This window comes from Homo sapiens, chromosome 2 (genome assembly GCF_000001405.40).
Source record: "Homo sapiens chromosome 2, GRCh38.p14 Primary Assembly".
NCBI lineage: Eukaryota > Metazoa > Chordata > Mammalia > Primates > Hominidae > Homo > Homo sapiens.
The window spans coordinates 98,214,493-98,239,247 of record NC_000002.12 but is presented as its reverse complement, the minus strand read 5'-3'; the positions used below and the strand labels follow the sequence as shown (position 1 = coordinate 98,239,247).

General features: G+C 41.0%; 1 protein-coding gene across 21 annotated transcripts in view; it reads right to left on the bottom strand.

Moving 5' to 3' along the window:
- VWA3B (von Willebrand factor A domain containing 3B) overlaps window positions 1–24,755 on the bottom strand; it is a 243,450-nt gene that overhangs the window by 91,369 nt on the left and 127,326 nt on the right. For 15 of the 21 annotated variants that reach the window (XR_922885.4, XR_922884.2, NM_144992.5 and 12 more), the window contains 6 exons: window positions 21,220–21,402; window positions 10,916–11,046; window positions 9,041–9,198; window positions 4,481–4,600; window positions 2,771–2,858; window positions 2,518–2,674 (listed from right to left, as the gene is read on the bottom strand). Coding sequence is in view for 16 of the 21 variants with exons in the window: in NM_144992.5 (NP_659429.4) it covers window positions 2,518–2,674; window positions 2,771–2,858; window positions 4,481–4,600; window positions 9,041–9,198; window positions 10,916–11,046; window positions 21,220–21,402 (837 nt within the window). In the remaining 5 variants the exon portion in view is untranslated. Of the gene's footprint in view, window positions 1–2,443; window positions 2,675–2,770; window positions 2,859–4,480; window positions 4,601–9,040; window positions 9,199–10,915; window positions 11,047–21,219; window positions 21,403–22,272; window positions 22,494–24,311; window positions 24,528–24,755 lie in introns of those variants that run through there. The other 6 variants (NR_144297.2, NR_144298.2, NR_144296.2 and 3 more) reach the window with 5 other exon arrangements.

Genomic DNA, 24,755 nt, shown 5'->3' with positions numbered 1-24,755 from the left:
GTTGGCTAAAGGCTGTAGTAATTATTCTCTGCACATATACTTCAGTATCTCTAATTATTTCCTTACATAGATTCCTAGTAATATATGAATTCGCTGGGGTAAATATAAGTTCTTAAGGCTTCTGAACATTTTACACTAAGGATGCACCAATTTATACTCTCACTAGCAGGATATAAGTGTCCATCCCACCCTGTCATTGCCATTACTGTTTATCGGTGATTTTTAACCTTACCAATTTGATGGGGGAGGTGGTGTCTAATTGATTATCAATTTGCATTTTTTAAGGCATATATTTGGTTACCAGTAAAGTTAAATATTTTTGTATATGAGTTTGACTTTTTTCCTTTTTTTCCCTAAAATTTCCACTCCAGTATTTGTCATTTTCTCATTCCCTTATGGTATGGATGTATGTGCATGTGTGTTTGCATACTGAACACTGATTCATACAAACACGGTGCTTTATACTGATACACACACGTAAGATATCACTCCTATGGCCCTTTTTGTCTGTCATGTATGTTGCAGGTATTTTTCTGAGATTTGTCTTCATTTTATTTACATGTTTTTAAGCAAAATAACATTTTTACCTACTCAGCCTATAAATCTTTCCTTTATTGTTTCTTCCTTGGATTTTATGCTTCTGCTTCCCTATCCTACCATATTTTTTTCAAGAAATTTACTTTTCACTCTACCTCAAGTTGTTGGGACATTTAGAAGGAGGCATAATAAGCCCAAGAAAATTCTATTTCTAAGTAGAGTTCACTAAATATATTTCGTCCCAAATAAAACTCAAGAATAGTAATATAACTGCAGAGAATATGAAGGAGCTGTCCCCAAACCTCCTACAAGAAATAAATTAGGGTTCAGTTTCTCCCTGTTGCTTCTAGAAGAAGTCAAGTTCAAGTGGTGAGTTGACATCTGACTAATTAGGTATAAATCAAATCTGCCAATCACAAGGAAACAGCCAGGGACAGGAGCACTCACCTTGAGGCAAAGTAGCCAGGAACCAGCCTAGAGGAGAACACACACACAGCCTCCGGAGGGAGAGTCACTGGTCATCCCAAACCAGCAGGCAGGTGAGCCTCCATGGGTGATAATTTTTAAAATGTGCTAATAGAATAAAATTCACCAATTCATCTGCTTCTCCCAATACATCAAATCTCAGCTATTTCAAGGCCAGTTAGAAAAGGTCTTTTCATTTTTAAAAAAACTTTCTCCTGCCTTTGATCTTTTCAACTTCTTTTTATGGAAAATTTCAAATACACAAAAAAGCAGAAAGAAGAGTAAAACGACCCTTCTCACTAAGTCTTATCCAAATGCTACAATGATCAACGTGTGGTCTATCTATTTCATCTACTCTCCCCCGCCCACTACTCCACCACCCCAATTACAATAAAGCAAACCCCAAGCATCCCCAAGCATTGTATCATTTCCTCTGCAAAGATTTCAGCATGAGACAGGTCTTTTAAGGATATTGTTTCCATTCAGTGACTGCAAAGACTGAAATGTTTCTATTTAAATCGTTAGTTGCTGTTGTATTTGCCTGGAAGCACTGAGGTTCCGTCTTCATGTTCTCATGTTTTTGGTGTTCTTCATCCCACTGCAGTAATGCCGTTCCACTGGAATTATTCTTGTAAAGATGAGCACCTCCTTGTTGCCAAATTCAGTGTTAAGTTTTCAGTACTTCCTTGGCCTTCCTCCACATTTAACCCTACCACGCCCTCCCATTGGAAGCTGTTTTTCTCCTCTCGGGACCGGCCTAGGACAATCTGGTGGTTCTTTTGCTAACATGTGGCTTGCTTGTTTGCTCTCTTAACTTTTTCCTTTAGCTACAAAAGATGCCACTCAATTTAGGAAGAGAAGGTAAGCAAAAGAAGGACATAATCTCTCGCAAGTCCTCCCTTTCCTTTCATAAAGGGATATTTGATGTTCACTCATGACTCTGACCTAGAGTTTTCAATCATTTCTGCAGCCCCACACTTCTATCCGTTAGCAACGAACCACGAAGTGCCAACCCAACCAAGATCAGTTTCTCTCAGCTTAAAAAGAGAATTCTTATTTTCGTTGTTTTTGAGACAAGATCTCGCTTTGTCACCCAGGCTGGAATGCGGTGACGCAATCACCGCTCACTGCAGCCTCGATGTCTCAGGCTCAAGCGATTCTCCCACCTCAGTGGCTCAAGTAGCTGGGGCTACAGGTGCATGCCACCATGCCTGGCTAATTTTTGTATTTTTTGTAGAAACAGGGTTTCACGATGTTGCCCAGGCTGGTCTCAAACTCCTGGATTCAAGGGATCCACCCACCACAGCCTTCCCAAGTGCTGGGGTTACAGGCATGCGCCACCGCGCCCAAATTCTTAAAAGCCTCTCTCTCTCCCTTTTACTGCCTTTACAAATACTTTTTCCCCCAGTGGCTAAAATACATTTCTGTTACAACCACACAAGAAATTGGACTACTTTTTATTTGAGCAGAAAATGAAAATGGCCTCAAGTAGGGACGTATAGACAATCAGTTTACCTCATCAAAGACCTTAGACACGACATGCTTGTCCAGGACGGGAACATAGGTGGAGCTGTGCGGGACTGCTGCCACTGACAAGGCATCCATGAGGGTGAGTTTCTTGGCGACCAAGCCATAGGTCTTCAGCCAGTTTTCTGAAGACACATCTGAAGAACTAAGAACACAAGGAGGTGGTGTTTTAAAATTTACAACTTGATGGTTAACCAACAGAAGCATAACAGAACTGTCTTTGTCAAATTAAAGAACTCACTCGTGGTCATAAACCTGGCTTCCTTCTCGCGTCACCTTTTCTGACGATTTGTCATCCAGCCACTCCTCAGCCAGCAAGATGCTCATTTCTGTGGAAGGGGAAGTGGCAGTTGTATATTTTCCTCACATATGGGTTTTACATAAAATGCAAAGGGATCACGCTTGTCTCAGTCCAGCTGTGACTGAGAGCTAATAAATGGACCACATTTCAGAGAACATATCCTGATTTGTCAGAGCGGGCTCTCAGGCAAGATTCCTTTGCAATTTACACTACAGACCAATGCATGGGTAAATACGGCACTACCACTGTTTTGAGACAATGAGACATATTCATTCTTTCATTCAGAAAACACACCTCTAAAAAGTGTGCAATAAAAATACCATTAACCAATGATTGTTCAATATTGACCTTTTGGACTCCCCCAAATTATATGAGAGCCTTGATCAACATTTTAATTTCTGATAGATTGTTTAGTGGTTCTTCAGCTTTCTGTAGAAAACCAAAAAACCTGTTAGGTCCTGTTTAGTTGTAAGTTCAAATTTTCAAATTAATATTTGGGGTTTTACATATATCCTTATATAAATGTGTATTTATAAATGAAAAGGGATATTTGTTGAATGAGCAGCATTCAGAAGGAGGCGTGTTTGGGTGTGAGCTAGTTAACTAGCTAAGAAATCATATCCCAATCATCATTTGATAAGCCCTTTAAGGAATGTGCATGTAGACAACTTAGGAAATATGGCAGGTTAATTGAAAGGGAGCCACTGTGCCCGGCCAAAATCCCAGCACTTTGGGAGGCCAAGGCGGGTGGCTCACTTGAGGTCAGGAGTTTGAGACTAGCCTGACCAATATGGTGGAACCCTGTCTCTACTAAAAATACAAAAATTAGCTTGGCCTGTTGGCGGCTGCCTGTAATCCCAGCTACTCGGGAGGCTGAGGCAGGAGAATTACTTGAACCGTGGAGGCAGAGGTTGCAGTGAGCCGAGATCACGCCACTGCACTCCAGCCTAGGTAACAAAGTGAGACTCTACCTCAAAAAAAAAAAAAAAGTGAGGAAAAGATATCAGACAGATCAGCAATGAAGAAAACAGAGTTCTAAATTAAACTATGACTGTGTAGCCACAGGGGCACATTTGCTACTCAGCCACTTCCTACTCCCTAGGGGATTGTGTGTATATGTGTGTGTTTAACTGGGATTTTAAATGTATCAACCATTTGAAATAAAAGAAAAATGTTACAGGCATCAAACGTTTCAAAACTTATTACTTTAAGATTAATAATTTTATCAATAGTAATAAAAATTGAGTGGGAAAATCACATTTTCCTCATATGCAGTCCCCAAAAGGCTGACAATTTGGACCAGAGAGGGGCTCATCTGATAGCATCATCCATTGAAGAAAGGGAAGAAAAAAAATCAACTATGAAATATGACAGTTTCAAAATCAAACCATGGAGGGGCAGCAGCATGACCATAGTTATGTGAGCCACGTGTGTATTAAACACCCAGGCACCATAAGCACAAGGCCAGCTCTCAGAAAATCCAGGTCATAAAGCAGGCAGACCTGACTTACAAGGGATTCCTTTGAATAGGAAGCAATCTGGGCCCATTTAAAATATGATTTCCCCAACATATCTACACGCAGCTCTTTCTGGAACAGATACACTGTGGAAAGGGAGGCTGGTTGGCCACAGAGATGCTTTCTGGCTTGCCTTTGTCACTTAGAGCAGTCCTCCGGCTGCTGGCATTGGAGAGGCCATCCTTCCTTTCACTGCAAGCTGAGCTCCTGAGGGAGGACATCTGGCTTCTGAGCAGGCTGGTTTTGGTTGATTCTGTTGGTATCACAGAGGGAAGAGTTAAAGGAATTGGGGATGGAAGGAGATACTTCATTAGATATAACTATTTTATCAGCTCCTTAAAGTAAGAATGCAACCTTTGTTTCCCAACCCTCTGAGGATGGTGCTGCCACAAACTGAATGCTGCCAGGATGCCCTGCTCCCTTTATCTGAATTTCAGCTGGACCCCTCCTGGAGAGAAGTCAGCTTCCACACTCATTCAGGCTGCTGGCAGAACCCAGCTCCTTGCAATTGTAGGACTGAGGCCCCATTTCCTTGCTGACTGTAGCCCAGCGGCCTCTCTCAGCTGCTTAAGGCATCTGTATTACTTCTCACACGACTCTTCCATCTTCAAGACAGTAATAGCACATTGAATTCCTCTTGTGGTTCAAATCTGTCTGACTTTCTCTTCTGCCACCAGCTGGAAATAGCCCCTGCTTTTCACAGTTCCCACAGTTACACTGGACTCACCTAGATAACTCTGTCTAGGTCAGCATAACCTGGTCATGAGAGTGACGTGTCATCATATTCAAAGATTGCAGGGTTCAGGGCAGGACATCTTTGGTAAGCCATTCTAGAAATTCTGCCCACCACAATTGCTGTCCAGATCTTTGCTTATGTTATTTTCTACCCTGTGATGTGTCCCTTCTACAGGCAAATGACAACTTAGCAAATATTGACCTTGAATCTGTGTGCTTTAGAGGACAATGAGCCTGTGCCAAGTCATCTTGATTACTTTTTATATTTGATAACATAAACCACACTAATTGTAATGTAGTCTGTACTTCATAATTTGGAGGCTTTAGAAGTACCTAGTTCCAAGGCTTTATGTCAGCATTCGTGAATGAAATGTGTCTGTGTTTTCACTGAGAGGACTTACCCTCTCCTACAAGAAATTAGATAGTTAGAGTGAAGATTAGCTAGTAATCTGCAAATGGGTAGCTTTCACACAGAAAATTAACACCAGTGGTCTCCATGCATAGAGAAGGAGTGTGCTATACGGTAATCATTGTTTTTCTAGGCAACAAAAGGGTAAGCCCTGCCTTGATTGTCTCTGTACCCAGGAACTAAGAAAGCTAAATTTCCTTAGAAGCTATGTCTGTGAGAAAAAGAGATAAACAATCCAAATCAGAGAGCTGAGCTCCTGCCAGTGTCCACACTGGCAGCCCACCTTGACCAACATTACCAGGCAAAACAATCAGATTTACGTGAGCCAAATGAAAATGAAATTTAGCTCCCCAAGTCTCCAAACATAAAAACTATACCATTCCCAAAGGCCACAAATACGGAATGAAACATTTATCTAGCAGTGGAATCAAACATTTAGCCCCTCCCCGGACTCTGTAGGATCAGTCATGGCATTTCACCACTCCTCTACATCACCAATGGAAACAAAATAGAAACTCAGCACATGATTGTCTCCCAATACCGAGCAACCCAAATCTAAGTGAAATGGTGGCAGTGACAATTGGCCATTAAAATGTTTAAGACAAGTAGCAACTCTGGCAAAACTCAGGTTCACTGGAACAGGCAGGCAGGACTGGAAAAAGGGATGCAGCCACACAAGTGGCCAGTGTGGGAAGGCTGTTTGTTCCCATGTACGATGCTGCTCCCTTGTACAGAGATAGCAGGAGCAAGAGGGCCAATCTCCAGTTAGCGGCCCTTTCCGGGACGCCTCTTGGTCCCTGTGGGTTCAAGGCCCTCCTCCCTGCCAGCAATGTGGGGACACCTCAGAGACAACACTGGGGGAAGCTGCTGCAACTCTCCCCTCAGAGACATCTAACATCCTGGTCTGAGGGGATCCCTGCTGCCACCTCAGGTAGCACCAGCAGGGACCAGTAGGAGCCCCAGAAACACCATAAAAACAAGCACCAAAATATTAACAATACCACAGAGCCTGTGAAAATTAAATCGCCATCAGAACCACAGCCCACAAAAGTAGGTCAAGGCCCACATGCTAAATTTAAACAGGGTGACTACTTCATAAAATAAAATACTTAAATGAGATGCAGAGTTCCTAACATAATAGACAAAATGTCCAAGATACTATCAAAAATCACCCATCATATCAGTAACTAGAAAAACAATCACACCTTCAATCAGAAAAAGCAAATGCATGATGCCAACACCAAGAAGAATCAGGAGCTGGAATTATCTGACAAGGATTTTAAAGAGGCTACCCATAAAAGTGCTTCAACAATTAATTATACATTCTCTGGAAACAAATGAACAAATAGAAAGAAAAGCAAGAAAGCCTCTAGCTAGATAGAAAAAAGGCAAAAAGAGAGAAGACAGATCAAAGCACTAATATCAAGAGTTCATTGCTAAAGATCTTGCAGCCATTAAAAAGCTAACAAAGGGATATAATAAACAACTTTGCCCTCATAAATCTGATAAATTAGAAACAATAGACCAATTACTGAAAAACCACAAAGTGCCAAAACTCGACCAAGCTGAAATGGACAATATCCTTAAAACCATTACAGAAATTGCATTCATCATGAAAAATCTGGAAAAGAAATCCCTAGGCCGAAATGGCTCCATGATAACTCTACCAAACATTCAAAGAAGAATTACATGAATTTCTCCCAGGAATAGAAGAGGAGGGACAATTTTCCAACCCACTTGGTGAGGACACTATTAGCTTGATACCAAAGCTGGATGAAGTCAGTGTTAAAAAAGAAAAATTAAAAGAACTATAGATCAATAGCTTTCATGAACTTTGATACCAAAATCCTCAACAAAATACTAGCAAACGGAATCCAGCAATGTATTAAAATAATTATACACTGAGACTAAGTGGGAAATATTCCAAGATATACAAGGCTGCTTCCACATTTGAAAATCAATTGATGTCATCCACCATTTCAATAGACTAAAGAAGAAAAAGCCTATATCAGTTGACACAGAAAAAGCATTTGATAAAATCCAGCATCCATTCATGATAAAAACTCTCAGAAAGCTAGAAATGTGTGGAACTTCCTTAACTGGATAGAGGTTTTCTTTAATTTTTTTCTAGAAGTGTTATAGTTTTCTGTTTTACATTTAAATCCACGGTACATGTGAGGTTAAGGTCAAGTTTCTTTTCCTTTTTTGACTGTAGATATTGCTTCAGCATCTTTGTTGAAAGGGCTATACTCCCTCCATTGAGTTAATTTTGCACCTTTGTCAAATCATTTGGGTATATTTGTGTGGATTAAATCTAGGTCCTATTCCACCTATCCCTCTGCTAATACCACACCGTCTTGATTAATGTGGTTATGTGGTAAGCCTTAATGTCCAGTACAGTGATTTCTCCAACTTTAGTCTCTTTTTCAAAATTATTTTAGCTATTGTAGAACCTGATGTTTCTGCATATATTTTAGAATATGCTTGTATATGTTTATAAAAACATTTTTGGGATTCTATTAGGAATTTCATTAAACCTATAGATAAATGAGCTGAGAATTGTCATCTATCACACCAATTCATTCAACCTATGAACATGGTGTCTCAATTTATTTAGATCTTCTTTAGTGTCTTACAGCAGAATTTTATAATTTTCAGCAAACAGATTCTGCACATACTTCGTTACATGTTCACCTAATTATTTTATTTTATTTGGAGCAATTATGAATGACTTTAATATAGGTTGCTGTATGTTCACTGTTAGTATATCAAAATGCAATTGGTTTTGTGCGTCCCGTAGCCAGAGACCTTGCTGAACTCAGTAGCTCTAGGACTTGTATTTTTGGTACATCCCTTGCTGTTTTCTACATAGACAATACAATATCTGCAAATAGGGACAGTTTTATTTCTTCCTTTCCAATCTTTCTGGCTTTATTTTTTCTTCTTGCCTTGTTACAGTGGCTAGAACTTCCCGTGCTATGCTGAATAAGGGTGGTAAGAGTAGGCATCCTTTCCCCCAATTTTAGGGGGAAATAATTCAGTCTTTCACCTTTTAGTTTGATTTTAGCTGTAGGAAGGGTGTGCAAGGGAGGTGGGTGTGGTTATAAAAGGGCAGCATGAAGGATTCCCTAGGTGATGGGACTCTTCTGTATCTTGACTGTAGTGGTGGAAACACAAACCTATACACGTGATCAAACCGTGTAGACCTAAACACACACTGTCAGACACACACACACACATACACACACACACTCACACGGGTACAAGTAAAACTGGACGATTTGAATAAGACCTGTGGATTGCATCAATATCAATATCCTGGTTTTAATATTGGACTATTATTTTGCAAGATGTTACCATTGGGGAAACAGGATGAAGCGTAGGTATATATAAGATCATGTGAATGTACAATTATTTTAATAAAAATTTTAATTTAAAAAACCCACAAGTTTAGTGCTTCTTAAAAATATTATGTGGGTTTAGTTTTATTCTATCTTCTTGCCTTGAAGAGAAACCAGCAAAGAGTCAAGCCATTTTGTTCACTGATACCTGCGTGAAGGACTTTCTTTTTCTGAACCTTTTGATCTGAAAGGCCCCATGGTCCCTTCAACATATTCAGAGATGAAGTTTGTGTTGAATCGACATCAGATTGAGGCTTTGCACACTTTTCTGGGGTTGAAATCATAGAACAGATTTCCTTTTGATGCCTGTTTTGATTTAGATAAAAAGTCGAGCAAAAAAAGAGAGAGAAAAGAAAATTTCCATCAAGAAGGCAGAGTTAAGTCAATACATTCATGTTGAACACTGCAAACTTTAAAAAGTAAGCCTTCCCCCATCTGGGTTAATATAAAAATAGTCATTTATCCCTGACTGATGCAGAAGAGTGGAGAGGGGCCCAGCCTTGGAGTCAGAAGATACAGCTCACTTCACAGGTCTGGTCCCTCCTGGCTCTGTGACCTCAGTCAAGTCACTCAATCCTCTCTAAACTTCTTCACTTTCCTCATCCATCAACTGCAGGAAACGTCACCTGCACACCTATATAGTGACTACATGGGGCTGATGGGAGGATTCGTAGGAGTGAAAGCCGGTTATAAACAAGTAAGCACTGCAGAAACCCATTCTCTAATCAGTGTCTACCAGCAAGCACTTATAAAAGCTAGAGAAAGGAACTCCTGCCTTGGACCTCCCATGCCAGCACCAGATCCCAGGGAACCATTCTGGAGAATGGAGCGATCCCAGAAACGCTTGCATGTTTTCCCAGATATGACCTTCTCTGAAGCGCTGAAGACAGCAGCCATACAAAGGAAAACTTCCAGAGCAATTTCTGCTCCAACACTGTGACGTGTGCCCTCCCTCCTGCACCACTGCCCCTCGACGCCTCCGTGGAGCACCTGCCCCGGGTTCCATGGCCCTCTGTGGGTCTGTGCCCGCACTGTGCCCCCCACAGCAGAAGGAACCAGACTGACATTCATCTGTGCACCCCGATTCTCTTACTGCATGGTTTGTACTCAATAAATGGCTTCTCATTTACTTGATTCTTAGTTTATTTGTTCAAATTTTTGAAATTTAGAAGCTGTATCTGTGCTTTCCCAAATACTTAAAAAATAATGCCATAAAATCTTATTGTAAGATGGCCATTATAACATTTACCTCTTTTTACTGATTCCACAGTCATGCCCTACCTTAAGCCCATACAAATGCTTAATTTGCTAACAGGAAGACAGTGCATTTTGTTGAACAATAAATTCTCATTAATAAATGTATTTTCTTTTTTTCCCCCAATTTTCTATCATTCTTTGAAATAAAAAAGACATCTCCTGGCAGGGTAGGCTGTGATACTTGAATATCTGGAAAATATTAAATCATTTTAATAAGATTTGACCAATTTCCTGAGTGTTTGGCGGTGGTTTTGATTTTGTTTAAAAACCACAAATTAGAAACATATAAGAATATAGGATGGGGGCAGACAGGAGAAGTCATCTGTCCCAAACCCACCACCACGGCCACCATTTTAAAGATGAGGAAACAGAGACCCACGCAATGGAGAGGCGTGGAGAGAAGTTCGGGCCTCGCCACAGTCACATAGAGGGAAGTCCAGGCCTCGGCCTCCTGATCCCTGAGTCAGAGCTCCTTCCCCACACAGTGCTCCTCTCCGCCCTCTCATTGCTTGGGTCTGGGGGCCCGTCCACACAGCGTGGAGAACATAAAGGGGAATATGTGGCCTCCTCAAGCCCACAATTAAATTAAATTGTTATTAAATTGTTAATTCTCTTTGCTTAAAAAAATCCTAACTTAATCACACTACGTGATTCTTTTCACTAAAAGAAATTTCACAGAGCATTTCAGAAAGGACAAGGGCCCAGGGGGCAAGCCCAGCTCTCAAGAGGCCTCAGCGCAGGGAGACAGGCGGGCAGAGGTGCTCACTTGCTGTCTCCATCCTTTTCTGCATTGTACCACCAGTCCATGATCAAGGACTCAGAATAAAGGTCTTGCATCTTCTCCAGATCACTGTGACCCTGTTCCATTTCCTTAACTAAAAGAGTCAGATCTTCATTCTGCCAAAATGAGAAGTGAATATGCTATAAGACTAGATAAAAAGAGCTCAAATTCCAAACATGTTTCTTTTCTTTTTAGAGACAAGAGGTTCACTATGTTGCCCACGCTGGTCTTGAGCTCCTGGGCTCAAGTGATCCTCTCATCTTGGCCTCCCAAGTACCTGGGACTACAGCACACGGCCAGAAAATGTCAAACATTTCTAACAGAAAGCCAACTGTATCAGGAAAAGAAGAATCTAAAGAATTTTATGTTGTTCTTATATTATCCCATTTTTAGCCAGCTTTATTGATGTGTAATTCACATACAACAAGCTGAACATCTGTAAAATGCACCATTTGAAAAGTTTGACATTCCCACCTGCAAAATCATTCTTACAGTCAAAATAATGAACATATTCGTCACCCTCCAAATTTCCTTGTGCCCCATTGTAAATCTGCACACCCTCCTACAAGCCCTCTCCCTCAATTCTCCAGGAACTACTCATTGGCTTTCTGTCACTACACATTAGTTTCAGTTTTCTAGAATTTTATACAAATGGAATCACACAGAAATTACTCTTTTTTCCTGACTTTCTTCATTTATATAATTATTTTAAGATTCACCCATGTTGTAGCATGAATCAATACTTCATTCATTTCTTATTGCTGAGCTGTATTCTATTGTATACTATTTATTAAATACCACAATTTATTTATCCATTCACCTGTTGATGTTGTTTTCAGGTTTGGGCTGTTATAAATAAAGCTACACACATTTGCATACAAGTCTTTGCATGGACGTCGGCTTTCATTCCTCCTGAATAAATATCTAGGAGTAGAATGATTGGACCATGTGGTTTGTGATGTTAAGGTCCTTCACGTCCCTTGTAAGCTGTATTCCTAGGCATTTTATTCTCTTTATAGCAATTGTGAATGGGAGTTCATTCATGATTTGGCTCTCTGCTTGTCTGTTGTTGGAGTACAGGAATGCTTGTGATTTTTGCACATTGAATTTATATTCTGAGACTTTGCTAAAGTTGCTTATCAGCTGAAGGAGTTTTTGGGCTGAGACGATGGGGTTTTCTAAATATACAATGATGTCATCTGCAAACAGAGACAATTTGACTTCTTCTCTTCCTATTTGAACACCCTTTATTTCTTTCTCTTGCCCGATTGCCCTGGCCAGAAATCCAATACTATGTTGAATAGGAGTGGTGAGAGAGGGCATCCTTATCTTGTGCTGGTTTTCAAAGGGAATGCTTCTGGCTTTTGCCCATTCAGTATGATATTGGCTATGGGTTTGTCATAAATGGCTCTTATTATTTTAAGATATGTTCCATCAGTACCTAGTTTATGGAGAGTTTTTAACCTGAAGGGATGTTGAATTTTACGATGTTGACCCTCTTTTCATGTGCTTCTTTGCCATCTGTAGATTCTCTTCAGTGAAATGTCTGTGCATACATTTTGCCTATTTTCTGATTAGATGGTTTGTTTTCTACTGTTAAGTTTTAAGAGTTCTTCATATATTCTAGATACTAAGACCTTTGTCTGACATGTCATTTGCAGATACTTTCTCTAAGTCTGCAGCTCATCTTTTTATGTTCTTAACAGGGTCTCCCACAGAGTGAAAGCTTTTAATTTTGATGAGGTCCAATCTATTAATCCTTCCTTTTATGGATAATGCTTTTGGAATCAAGACTAAAAATCCTTTGGTAGCCCAACATCCCCATAATTTTTCCCACATTTCTTTCTAGAAGTTTTACAGTTTTATGTTTTAGATTTAAGTCCACACTCCATTTTGAGTTAAGATGTCCATGAGGTATGAGGTTTAGGTTGGGGTTTATTATTTTGCCTTTGGATATCCAATTGCTCCAACCATTTATTGAGATGGCTATCCTTCCTCCGCTGGATTGCTTTTGCATCTTTGTCAAAAATCAGTCGAGCATGTTGTGTGGGTGTATTTCTATAACTGTTCCATTGGTCTACGTGTCTGTTTCTCCACCAGAGCAAATACATCTTGATGAATGCAGCTACATAGTAAGCCTTAATACTAGGTATAATGATTCTTCCCATTTTATTTTTCTTTTTCAAGATTGTTTAAACATTTTTAGAGCCTGTGACTTGTCATATAAATTTCAGATAGGCTTAACTATGTCTGTAAAAAACTTTTCTGGGGTTTTTATAGAAATTTTGATAAACCTATAGATCAAGCTGGGGAGAACTGACGTCTCTAATATGTTAAGTCGTTCAATCCGTGAACAGGACATATCTTTCCATTTATTTAGATCTTCTTTGATATCTTCAGCATTTTGTAATTTTCAACATAAAACTGCTGTACATACTTTTTTAGGTGCATAAATATTTCATCTTATTTGAAACTCAATTGTAAGTGGTATTGGGTATTTAATTTTCACTTCCACATGCTCACTGTTACTTTATCAAAATATGATTGAAGTGTGTGTATTAATTTTGTGACTTTGCTGAAATCTCGTAAAAGTTCCAGTTTTTTTTTTTTTTGTAGATCTCCTGGGGTTTTCTATGTAGATAATACATTACCTGCACATAAAAAGTTTTATTTCTTCCTTCTCAATCTGTATGCCTTTTATTTCTTTTCTTGCCTTGTTCCCATGGTTAGAACTTCCAGTAGTATGTTGAATCACAGCGGTGAGAATAGATGTCTTTGACTCTTCTAATCTTAAGGGGAAATCATTCAGCCTTTCACTACTAAGTATGACTTTAGCTGTAGGTATTGATGTTCTTATTAAGTTGAGGAAGTTCTCTTCTATTTCTATTTTGCTGAGAGTTTTTATTATGAATGGTGTGGAATTTGGTCAAGGCTTTTTCTGCATCAATTGATAAAACCATATGATTTTTCTTCTTTAGCCTGTTGATATGCTGGATTATACTAATAGATTTTCTAATGTTGAAACAATCAATTACAAATTTCTTGAAACAAATGAACAAATATTTCCAATATACAAAAACAAGTAGCCAGGTGGGGCGGCTCATGCCTGTAACCCCAGCACATTGGGAAGCCAAGGCAGGTGGATCACATGAAGTCAGGAGTTCGAGATCAGCCTGGCCAACATGGGGAAACCCCGTCTCTATTAAAAATACAAATTAGCTGGGCATGGTGGCCAGTGCCTACATAATCCCAGCTACTTGGGAGGCTGAGGCAGAAGAATTGCTTGAACCATAGAGGTGGAGATTGCAGTGAGCCAAGATTGCACCACTGCGCTCCAGCCTGGGTAAAAAAAAAGAACAAATATTCTTGTATATATGGAGTAAGTCCCCCTTGATCATAGTGTATAATTTTTAATACATTGCTGGATTCATTTTACTAATATTTTGTTGAGGATTTTTGCATGATGTATTTCAAAAAATCCTTTTAGTTGAACCTACCTATGTAGAATTAAAGTGAGATTCTCAAAAGCAGCACATAGTTTGGTTGTGTTCTTTTTTTTTTTTTAATTCACACTGCCAGTATCTGTCTTTTGATTGGTGTGATTAGACCATTAATTTAAAAAGTATTATTGACATGTTAGCACTTACTTCCAGTATTTTATGGTTTGTTTTCTCATTCCTCTGTTTGTCTTTCCTTGCCTTCCTTCAGGTTATTTAAACTTTTTTTTTCTTACAATTCTATTTTGATTTATTTACAGAGTTTTTGAACGTAGCCCTTTGTATTGCTTTTGTAATGAATCTTGTCAGTATGACAGCATATATATGTGACTTATAACAGTCCCAGCATCAACATTTTACTCCTTCAATGAAAATATGTAAACATCACTTCCATTCAGGTCCCTTTACCTTCTCCAGCTTTAAATATTATTGTCTTCAGTGTTAGGTGATGTTACAACTTTTGTTTCAATCATTAAAAATATGATTTGTAAATCTCATGAAGAAAAGGATAGATCTATTATATCTCCCCATATTTCTGCTCTTTCTTCTTTTCTTTCTGGTGCTCCAATTATTTCTTTTATAATTTCTTTCTGATGCTCCAATTATTTCTTTTATAATCTCTTCTTTTCTTTCTGATGCTCCAATTATTTCTTTTATAATTTCCTTTAGCTTGAAAACCCTCCTGTAAACAATCAATGAAAATAAGTTTTCTAACAATAAGTTCTTTTAGTTTTTATTTATCTGAGAATATTTTTATTTCCCCTTCATCCTTGAAGGATAGTTTTGTGAAATATAAAGTTTGGGGTTGCTAATACCTGTAATCTCAGCACTTTGAGAGGCTGAGGCAGGAGGACTGCTTGAGGCCAGGAGTTCAAGACCAGCCTGGGCGACATAGTGTGACCCTATCTCTACAAATAAAAAAATTAGCCACGCATGGTGGCACACGCCTGTAGTCCTAGCTACTTGGAAGGCTGAGGCAGGAGAATCACAGGAGCCCAACAGTTTAAGGCTTCAGTGAGCCAAGATTGTGTCACTGCACTCCAGCCTGGGTGATGGAGTAAAACCCTTGTCTCTAAAACTAAAATAAAATAAAATAAAAGTAAAATAATAAAATTCATGGTTAATGGTTCTTTCCTTTCATACTTGAAAACTATCGTGCCATTTTCCCCCTGGCTTCTTTGGTCTTGAACAGGAAGTCTGCTGTCAAATCTGCAATTGAATTGGTGTCATTTTTCTCATTTTTTTCTTTGTCTTTAATTTTCAAACGTTTAACTATGACATGTCTTGGCCTGGATTTCTTTGGGCTTATCCTGTTTGGAGTTTACTCAGATTCTTGAATCTGTATATTTGTATATTTCACCAACTTTGGGAAGTTTTCAGCTATTATTTTGTCACTTTTTTTTCAGTCCCATTTTTCCTTCTTGTCTCTTTGGTGGACTCCGATGATACTAATGCTGGATATTTTGTCATTGTCTCACAGGTCCTCGTGGCTCTACCTTTTTTTTTTTTTTTGGTCTATTTTCTCTCTGTTGTTTAGAGTGACTGAATTTTGTTGTTCTGACCTTAAGTTCACTGACATTATCCTGTCATCTCCACTTCACTATTGAACCTATCTACTGAGGTTTTAAAAATTTCTGCTCTTGTATTTTTCAGTTCTCAAAGTTCCACTTGGAATTTTTTTTATAATTCCTACTTATATTCTGAGATTGCCTATTTGTTCATTTGTTTCAAGAGGATTTGTAATAGATTGTTGAAGCATTTTTATGACAGCTTCTTTAAAATCCTTGCAGGTCATTCCAACATATGATTCATCTCAGTGTTGGCATCATTTGTTTGTCATTTCTCATTCAAATTGGGGCTTTCTTGGCTCTTTGTGTGATGGGCACTTTTTTTACTGGATCCTAGGTATTTCCTATTGTGTGAGAAGATTCTGGGTCCTATTTAAAATCTTTTATTTTACTTGGTAGTTGCCCTGCTTAAATTTAGCATGTGAGATTTGTCCTACTTCTGTGGGTCTTTGCTCCAACGGCAGTTTGATGTTCAGAAGCTTTTGGTATTATCTTGGTCTTCTTTGCGAATCTGGTGCCATTCTGGACCCCACTGGTCCTTGCTGGTGCTGCCTGAAGAGACAGGAGGCGTTTCCCTCCGTCAGGCTTCCAGGTGTCTCTTGGTACCTCCCCTGCTGTCCTCCAGGTGTTCCTGTGTCACTGGGTAGGGTAGGAGAGCCCTTGGCCCACAGGGACAAAGAATCTTCTGCAAGGGGCCACTAGTTCTAGCTGGGCCTCTCCTGCCTGTTCTTCCAACGCACTCTGATGTGTCTCTGAAGGAGAGGAGAGTCTCAGGCCTGCAGAGACAACGAGGCTTCCCAGATGGGCCACTGGCAGCTGTGTCCCTTTAGCAAGCTCTGCCCACCTATCCAAGTAAACATCCTCCTCTGGTGTACTTCTTATATGTGTGGGGACTGTTACAGATCAATTTCACTTTCACTTGGGCATAACTATGTATCTGGTGAGCTCTCCCAGCTATTTTTGTCAAGGTGAGCTGTCAGAGTGGTGGGATTAAGAGTTCAACTGTCTTTCTGTGGGACAGTTTTCTTTTGTGGGACAGTTTTCTCTTAAGGGTAGGAAGTTGATAGGGTATGAGTAGCCCACCTAGCACTACCTCCTTCAGTCTCGTCGATGCTGAACGGAAGTGGAGCCTCAGTCCTCCACTGGGCCCTGCTGACATTATGGGGAGGACCACCGTGGGGGCTAGTCCTGTTTCACACTTTCTCCTTTGGTCTCATGCTGTTGTGTGAGTGTGGAGGTGAGGCTTCCCATTACTAACACCACGGATGGGGGAAAGCAGAGCGTGGCCTTTCCCCAGCTTGCTTCTTTTTTCACTTTCATTGATAATGGGTCTTTGTAGAGGCTCAGCTTCGTGCTGAGTCCTGCTGACATGAGGACTCTGGTGAAGCACAACAGTGACTAGACTGGCCTCACACTGCCTGGTTAGGTTGTGGTGCTGCCTGAGAGGAGTGGAGGGTTGGCTCGACACTGGGCACCATGGACGCTACCCTGGTGAGGGACTCAGAGCACTGCTGCTCCTGCCCACTCAGGGATGAGAGATCAGCTTCCCACTCAGTCCCTCTGATATTACTCTAGTAGGAGAATGTAAGCACCACCTGCTTCCAGAAGGAGAATGAGCTTTCCACTAAGCCTCACTGACACAGCCTCAGCAGGGAAATAAATCAGAGCATTGCTGCCTGCTTCCACCACGTAGGGATGGAAGTTTAGCTCCCTGGTCAGCTCTACTATTCCACTCGGCAGGGGGATCAGAGCACAGTCACTTGCTTCCATGAAGCAAGAGAGTGGGTGAAAGATTAACTCCCTGTTTGGCACCACTGAAATCCCAGGGGAGGGGATGCAGTTTTTTCCATGGTATATGACTGGAGCAGGACAGATATTGCCAAAAAGGTTTTCTGTTATTAAGCCGTGCTCTTCCCAGTCATTTGGCTCGGGCAGGGGTGGTGGGGAACAGGCTTTTCGTGGAGCTTTCTTTGTCAGTGCTTGTTGGAGATCCCAGGTTGGAGAGGCTTCTGCAGTGCCCTGTCTGGGATATACGAATAGAAATAAAGTCCCAAGGACTCATTGCCAAGGGACCTCAGAACTTGGAGAATGACACGACAATGAGTGTCATTTTTTTTTTTTTACTTTAAGTTCCAGGATATATGTGCAGAACACGCAGGTTTGTTACATAGGTAAACATATGCCACAGTGGTTTGCAGCACCTATCAACCTGTCACCTAGGTATTAAGCCCCACATGCATTAGCTATTTGTCCTGATGCTCTCCCTCCCTCTGCCCCGCCCCCGACAGGCCCCAGGTGTGTGATGTTCCCCTCCCTGTGTCCATGTGTTCTCATTGTTCGGCTCCCACTTATAAGTGAGAACATGCGGTGTGTGGTTTTCTGTTCCTGTATTAGTTTGCTGAGGATGATGGCTTCCAGCTTCATCCATGTCCCTGAAAAGGACACGATCTCATTCCTTTTTATGGCTGCATAGTATTCCATGGTGTATATGTACCACATTTTCTTTATCCAGTCTATCATTGATGGGCATTTGGGTTGGTTCCATGTCTTTGCTATTGTGAATTGTTTGCATATTGTTTATTGTGCCGCAATAAACATATGTGTGCATGTGTCTTTATAGTAGAATGATTTAAATTCCTTTGGGTATATACCGAGTAATGGGATTGCTGGGTCAAATGGTATTTCTGGTTCTAGATTCTTGAGGAATCGCCACACTGTCTTCCACAATGGTTGAAGAATGATGGGACAATGAGTCCTTTGTCCTCTTTTGGAGATATAACCAGGGCTTTCTGGTTTTGAGATGGTGGACCTACAAGGGATGGCACTACTCTATCTTTGCTGGAACTGGAAGTCTATCCTGCACTTTTTCTTATAATTGTGCAATAAGAATTTTTTTTTACATATTTACCTATGCAGTTAGCATCATCTTTACCAATGCTTTTTATTCCTTAGCATAGACTCATATTTCTATCTGGTAAGGTTTTCCTTCTGTCTAAAGTACTCCCCTTTAATGTTTCTGGTACCGCAGGCTTGTTGGTGATGAATTCTTTTAGTTTTTTCGTATCTTTTTTTTTTTTTTTTTTTTTTATGAGACAGGTTCTCACTCTGTCACCCAGGCTGGAGTACAGTGGTGTGATCTCGGCTCACTGCAGCCTCTGCCTCCCGGGTTCAAGTGATCCTCCCGCTTTAGCCCCCCAAAGTAGCTAGAACTACAGGTGCAAACCACCATGCCCAGCTACTTTTTATATTTTTTGTAGAGGTGGGGTCTTGCCGTGTCGCTCAGGCTGGTCTTGAATTCCTGAGCTCAAGCAATCTGCCCACCTCAACCTCCCAAAGTGCTAGGATTACAGGTGTGAGCCACTGCACCTGACCGTTTTTATATATCTTAAAAAGTCTATTTTATATCCTGCTTTGAAAGATATTTTCAGTCCGCATAGGCTCTATGTGGACAGTCTCTCAGTATTTTAAACATGTTTCTCCACTGTCTCCTCACTTGCATTATTTCTGATGAGACATCTGCTGTCATCTTTACTACTGTTCCTCTGTGCACAATGTGTCTTCTTTCTATTATTTTAAGATGTTCTCTTTGTCATTGCTTCTGGAAAGTTTGATTCTGCCTTAGTCTGGTTTTCTTCATGTTTCTCGTGCTTGGGATTCATTGAGGTTCTTTTGGATCTGTGTGTTTATAGCCATAATCCAATTTGGAAAATTTTTGGCCACTGTTGCTTCAGTTATGTGTTTATTAGACTGATCGGATTTTTCCACGACTCATTGATGCTCTGTTTTTTGTTTTGGTTTGTTTCTTTGTTTTTGTTTTTGTTTTTTTTATTTGAATTCTCTTTCTTCTGTGTTACATTTTGGATAGTTTCTATTGCTGCCTTCCAATTCACTAGTTTTGTGTTACGCAATGTCTGATCTGCTGTTCATCCCATTCTATATATTTTTCATTGCTAGTTTAATTTGTGTCTTACTTGTACCTTTCATGTCTCCCCCACAGTTACAAGAACAGTTTTAATGCTCTAATAGTAACATTGAGTTCTGGGTACATTTTAAGTCTTCAGTTTGTTTTTCCTCCTCATTATGGGTCTGTATTTTCCTACTTTTTCGCATGCCTAGTAATATTCGGTTGTGTGCTAGGCATTGCTGAGTTTACTTTGTTAAGTGGTGAATATTTTTGTTTTCTTGTAATTATTCTTGGGGTTTGTTCTGGGATGCAGTTAAGTTAGTTGGAAACAGTTTGATCCTTTCAGGCCTTGCATTTAAGATTTCCTAGGTGGAAGCAGAGTGTTTGGTTGCTCCCACTACCGAGGCAAGACCCTCCTGTGTACTTTACCCAGTGCCCAAAGGATTATGAAGTTTCCAATCCTCACTAGTGGGAGCACTCTTCCCAGCCCTCTGTGAGCTTAAAGCACTGGTCCCTCCAATGTTTTTTGGATGATTCATTCCCTAGTCTCAGGTAGTTCACTCACATGAAGCACTGATCAGTATTCTGACTTGTCCTGCTACCCACTGAATCTGGATTTAAAGTCACTCCTCAGAACATAAAACAAAAAACACACACCCTAGAAGGGCATCCTTGAAATGCATATGCACAGGCCAAGTCTGGAGGATGAGAGAACAGAATTTTATTTGCTTTCTCCCATTAGCCTATTAGAATAAATTGCTTTATCAGGTGGTCAAATGGTTATATAGTCTGAGAGGTCAGCAAGCAACTAACCACCTACATCTGACATTGTTTCATTTTCTACAAATATCTGTGTATAGCAGTGATTAACAAACTTCACATATAGCTCCCTGGGTATCCCTGTTAAAAACACAGATTCCTAAAGTTTGTCAAAATATTGATAATTGTTGAATTTAAATTATAGGTACATGGAGGTCTATATATGCTTCTATTTTGTGTAATATTTGAAACTTTCTGTAATAAAAAGTTTAGAAGAAAAACAAAATATATATATTAATTTATAATTCCTGGGCCTCTATGCCTACAACCTGCTTTAGCATCTCTGAAATGGGATGCAGGAATCTGCTCAGGTGCCCTAGCTCAGGTGGTCCTTGGGCTACATTCTGAGAAACACTGGTACACTCATTGTTAAGCGACTCATTTTTTTGACTTAGTTATCTCTATGGTTGCTATTTTCCCAACGAAGGTATTACCCAGGGACCGCCAGCCTGTAATGCTCAAACAAATGAACACTCCCTTCTTAGCCCACCAAGCTCTTACCTGAACAGCCTCTGGGGGAGTGGGATCCTTGCAACCAAAATTATAAAAATGGAACTCTCCTCCAGTCAAAGCAGCAACCTCTTTCAAAAACCTGTTTGCAATCTCATCATTGTAATTGAAGGAGATGGTATAAATAGGAATTTCCTGAAAACGTTTGACCTGGTCTATAACTGTTTCAGGTGGCTGAAACGATAAGTTTTGGGGATGGGGGAAGGGAGATGGAAAGAGAAGAGAAAGAAAAGAATATGAAAATCCTTAGTATTTACTACAGATACTCAAATAGTAATTCTGTATACAGTGGTGAGTGGCTTCTTAAAAACATGTCGATTCAATTCAGTAAATAAAGAAAAGACTGCCAGATGGTGAGAGTACAATGATCCACAAGACATGGGCCTTGGCTCTGAGGTCTCTCAGTTGGGTGGGACAAAGAAGCTAGGAGAAAGATTCGGCCAACCAAGTCACTCAACTTTAGGTGTGCCTGAACTTACAGTCCATGCATTTAAAGTGCTGGGCTACAAAAGAGCAATTTCCAGCTTCCAACATGCTATGGTCAACCGCTTCCCACAGAGAGTGAAGGAAGAGATGTTTATTAAAGGTCTTCCCATGTGCTGGGCATTCATCTTAGAAACTGAAGAAAGCAGGCAGGGTCTGTGAGAAATGGATTAAGGAGCCCCAGAGCTGAGAGAGGCTTCTTCACTGTACACAGGAGCTAGACAGGGAGTGGGCCCACACTCCACAGCCCAGAGAAGCTGCTGGAATGAGTGACAGAAAGGGGTACGGTTAGTCAGTCTGCGGTGGTGAGAGGTTTGCTTCAACTTTCTGATTGTGCTCTTCAAAGCTCTGAGGATACAAACCAGCAAAAGGACTCCTCAGCAGGGAGGGGGCAGGAGGACAGGAGTGGCTGTTTCCCATTGCAGGGATGGAGCTCCCTCTGCCATTGAGGGGAACCCCCACCCTCTGCCCAGCTCCCCAGCACCATCCTGGGGCACTTGAACATCATGCCAGTTTAGCATGAAGGGACCACCTGAGACTGGGTGCGGGGCGGGTGCTTACAATGATACACATGACAGTCTCTCCCACTCATGCTGTCTTCAGCTGTATGGAATGAAGGAAACAGCTCCAGAGCGAGAGACTTGGGCTTGAAGCTCATCCAGCACTGCCCATCTGAATGGCCTAGGGCATGTCCTGTCTAATGTGAGTTTCCTCATCTGTGGCTCAGAACTGATACTCCCTCCTTAAACGGCTGCTGTGAGGAGTAAATGAGATGATGTTCCCTGGAAGGCATTCCACAAATATTTGTTGAGTACATTTTATTTGCCAGGAGCTGCTGTCAGCCTAGGATAAGGCCAAGCAGCACACCTGAGCCACTTTCCCCATTCCCTCTGCTCTGAGTCTAAACAGCTGTGCAGCCAGGGCTCCACACACATCAGCTGTGCAGCCTTCCTCCACACACATCAGCTGGAGTGGCAAGAAAGGCCGAGATTCCATCTCCTCCCTGCCGGGAAGGAGGTCTGTTTGTGCATGTGCAGGTTGATCACCCTGCACCTTCCCCAACCTCCTGCCCTCACATACCCTATGCTAAGGCTTTAGCCATTAGTTTTATTTAGGATGGTGCACATGCCTTTATCATGTCCATTTTCTTGATTCCAGTCCAGACCAGCCCATAACTTTAAAGAATTCCCAAAATGACCGCAGCCAAAGCTGCATGGGGCTGTTCCCAGCAAAGACCCTGCCAGCTTACACTATGGATGCCCACCAAAGGACACTTATCCAATGTGTATATGATTCCCTTTTAACGAAGACTAATATTTCTAGAACCCACTTAATTTTTTGACCTGCTTAATTTTAAAGACTGTGTCACCTTATAATGCTCCCTCGGACATTTAATAATCAGGCAGGAAGCTAGTGTCCATGTAACTGATCCAGAACAGCATCTGTGTCTATTCTTCCACAAAGAAAATTCTGCTGAATATTTGGAATAATAACACGGGCCTTACACATTCAGTTCCTATAAAGCCAGTGAAAATTCAAAAGCAAAAAATGGAAATTGAGTGGTACATCTCCATATCTTCTACATAGAACATGAATATCAAATATCAATTTGCCTTTTTGAGAGAATCCAAGGAATAATGAAAAAAAAATAGACCACGTGTGTCGAAAGGGCAGTCTTTTTGCAGGTGTTGAATTCGGAAGTCCTCAAGAGTTTCTAAATTGGCTGGGCGCGGTGGCTCACACCTTTAATCCCAGCACTTTGAGAGGCCGAGGTGGGCAGATCACAAGGTCAGGAGATCAAGACCATTCTGGCTAACACGGTGAAACCCCGTCTTTACCAAAAATACAAAAATTAGCCGGGTGTGGCGGCGTGAGCCTGTAGTCCCAGCTGCTGGGGAGGCTGAGGCAGGAGAATGGCGTGAACCCGGGAGGTGGAGCTTGCAGTGAGCCGAGATTGCGCCACTACACTCTAGCCTGGGCGACAGAGCCAGACTCTGTCTCAAAGAAAAGAAAAAAAGAGTTTCGAAATTATGTTTGGGGTAATTTGCACATTTCTGACTCCATCTTTTTTGTTTTTTGTTTTTTGTTTTTTTTTTTAGATGGAGTCTCGCTCTGTCGCCCGGGCTAGAGTGCAGTGGCGCGATCTCGGCTCACTGCAAGCTTCAACTCCCGGGTTCACACCATTCTTCTGCCTCAGCCTCCCCAGCAGCTGGGACTACAGGCGCACGCCACCAGGCCCAGCTAATTTTTGTATTTTTAGTAGAGACGGGGTTTCACCGTGTTAGCCGGGATGGTCTTGATCTCCTGACCTTGTGATCCAACTCACCTCGGCCTTCCAAAGTGCTGGGATTACAGGCATGAGCCACCGCGCCTGGCCTAACTCCAGCTATTATCCATATCCTTGATTCTCCATCTTTGAGTAGACCTTCAGAATCTGGTAAAATATATCGATCTTCTCTCAAGAAAACAAAAATTTTGAGTGTATTTTTATACATATTATTGGGAGATTCCAGAGCCTCAGAAGTCCGTACTGGACTGTAGATCAAGAATTCTTGTCAATACCCTGCTTGCGGGAATGTTGCTTGTGACATCCTCTTTGGGGGCTGCTATTCGGCAGTATCAATCAAAACATGGACCTTGCAGCTGAGTCCACTTCTCAGAATTTACACGTACAGATATACTCACTCACAGGCAAACCAATATATGCACAGAGTTCCTTTGGCAAGATTGTGTAAATCAGAAAGCTCAAAAACAATCCGACTGCGTATCTGCAGGGGACTAGCTAAATAAGTGATGGGATAGCCATGTGATGGAACCTAGAAGAGAATGAGGACGCTCTTTATGAAATGATATGAAGCCATCTCCAAGGTATACTGTTTGACGAATAAAGGTGCAGAATCATGTGTATAATAGGCTAACAGTTGTTTTTTTAAAAAAGATGAAATATATATGAATACATTTTTGCTGTATAACAGAAACCATCTCTGAAAGGAGATACAAAAAAACTAGTTCCATCAGTTGCCTCCTAGCTGGTGAAAGGGGTG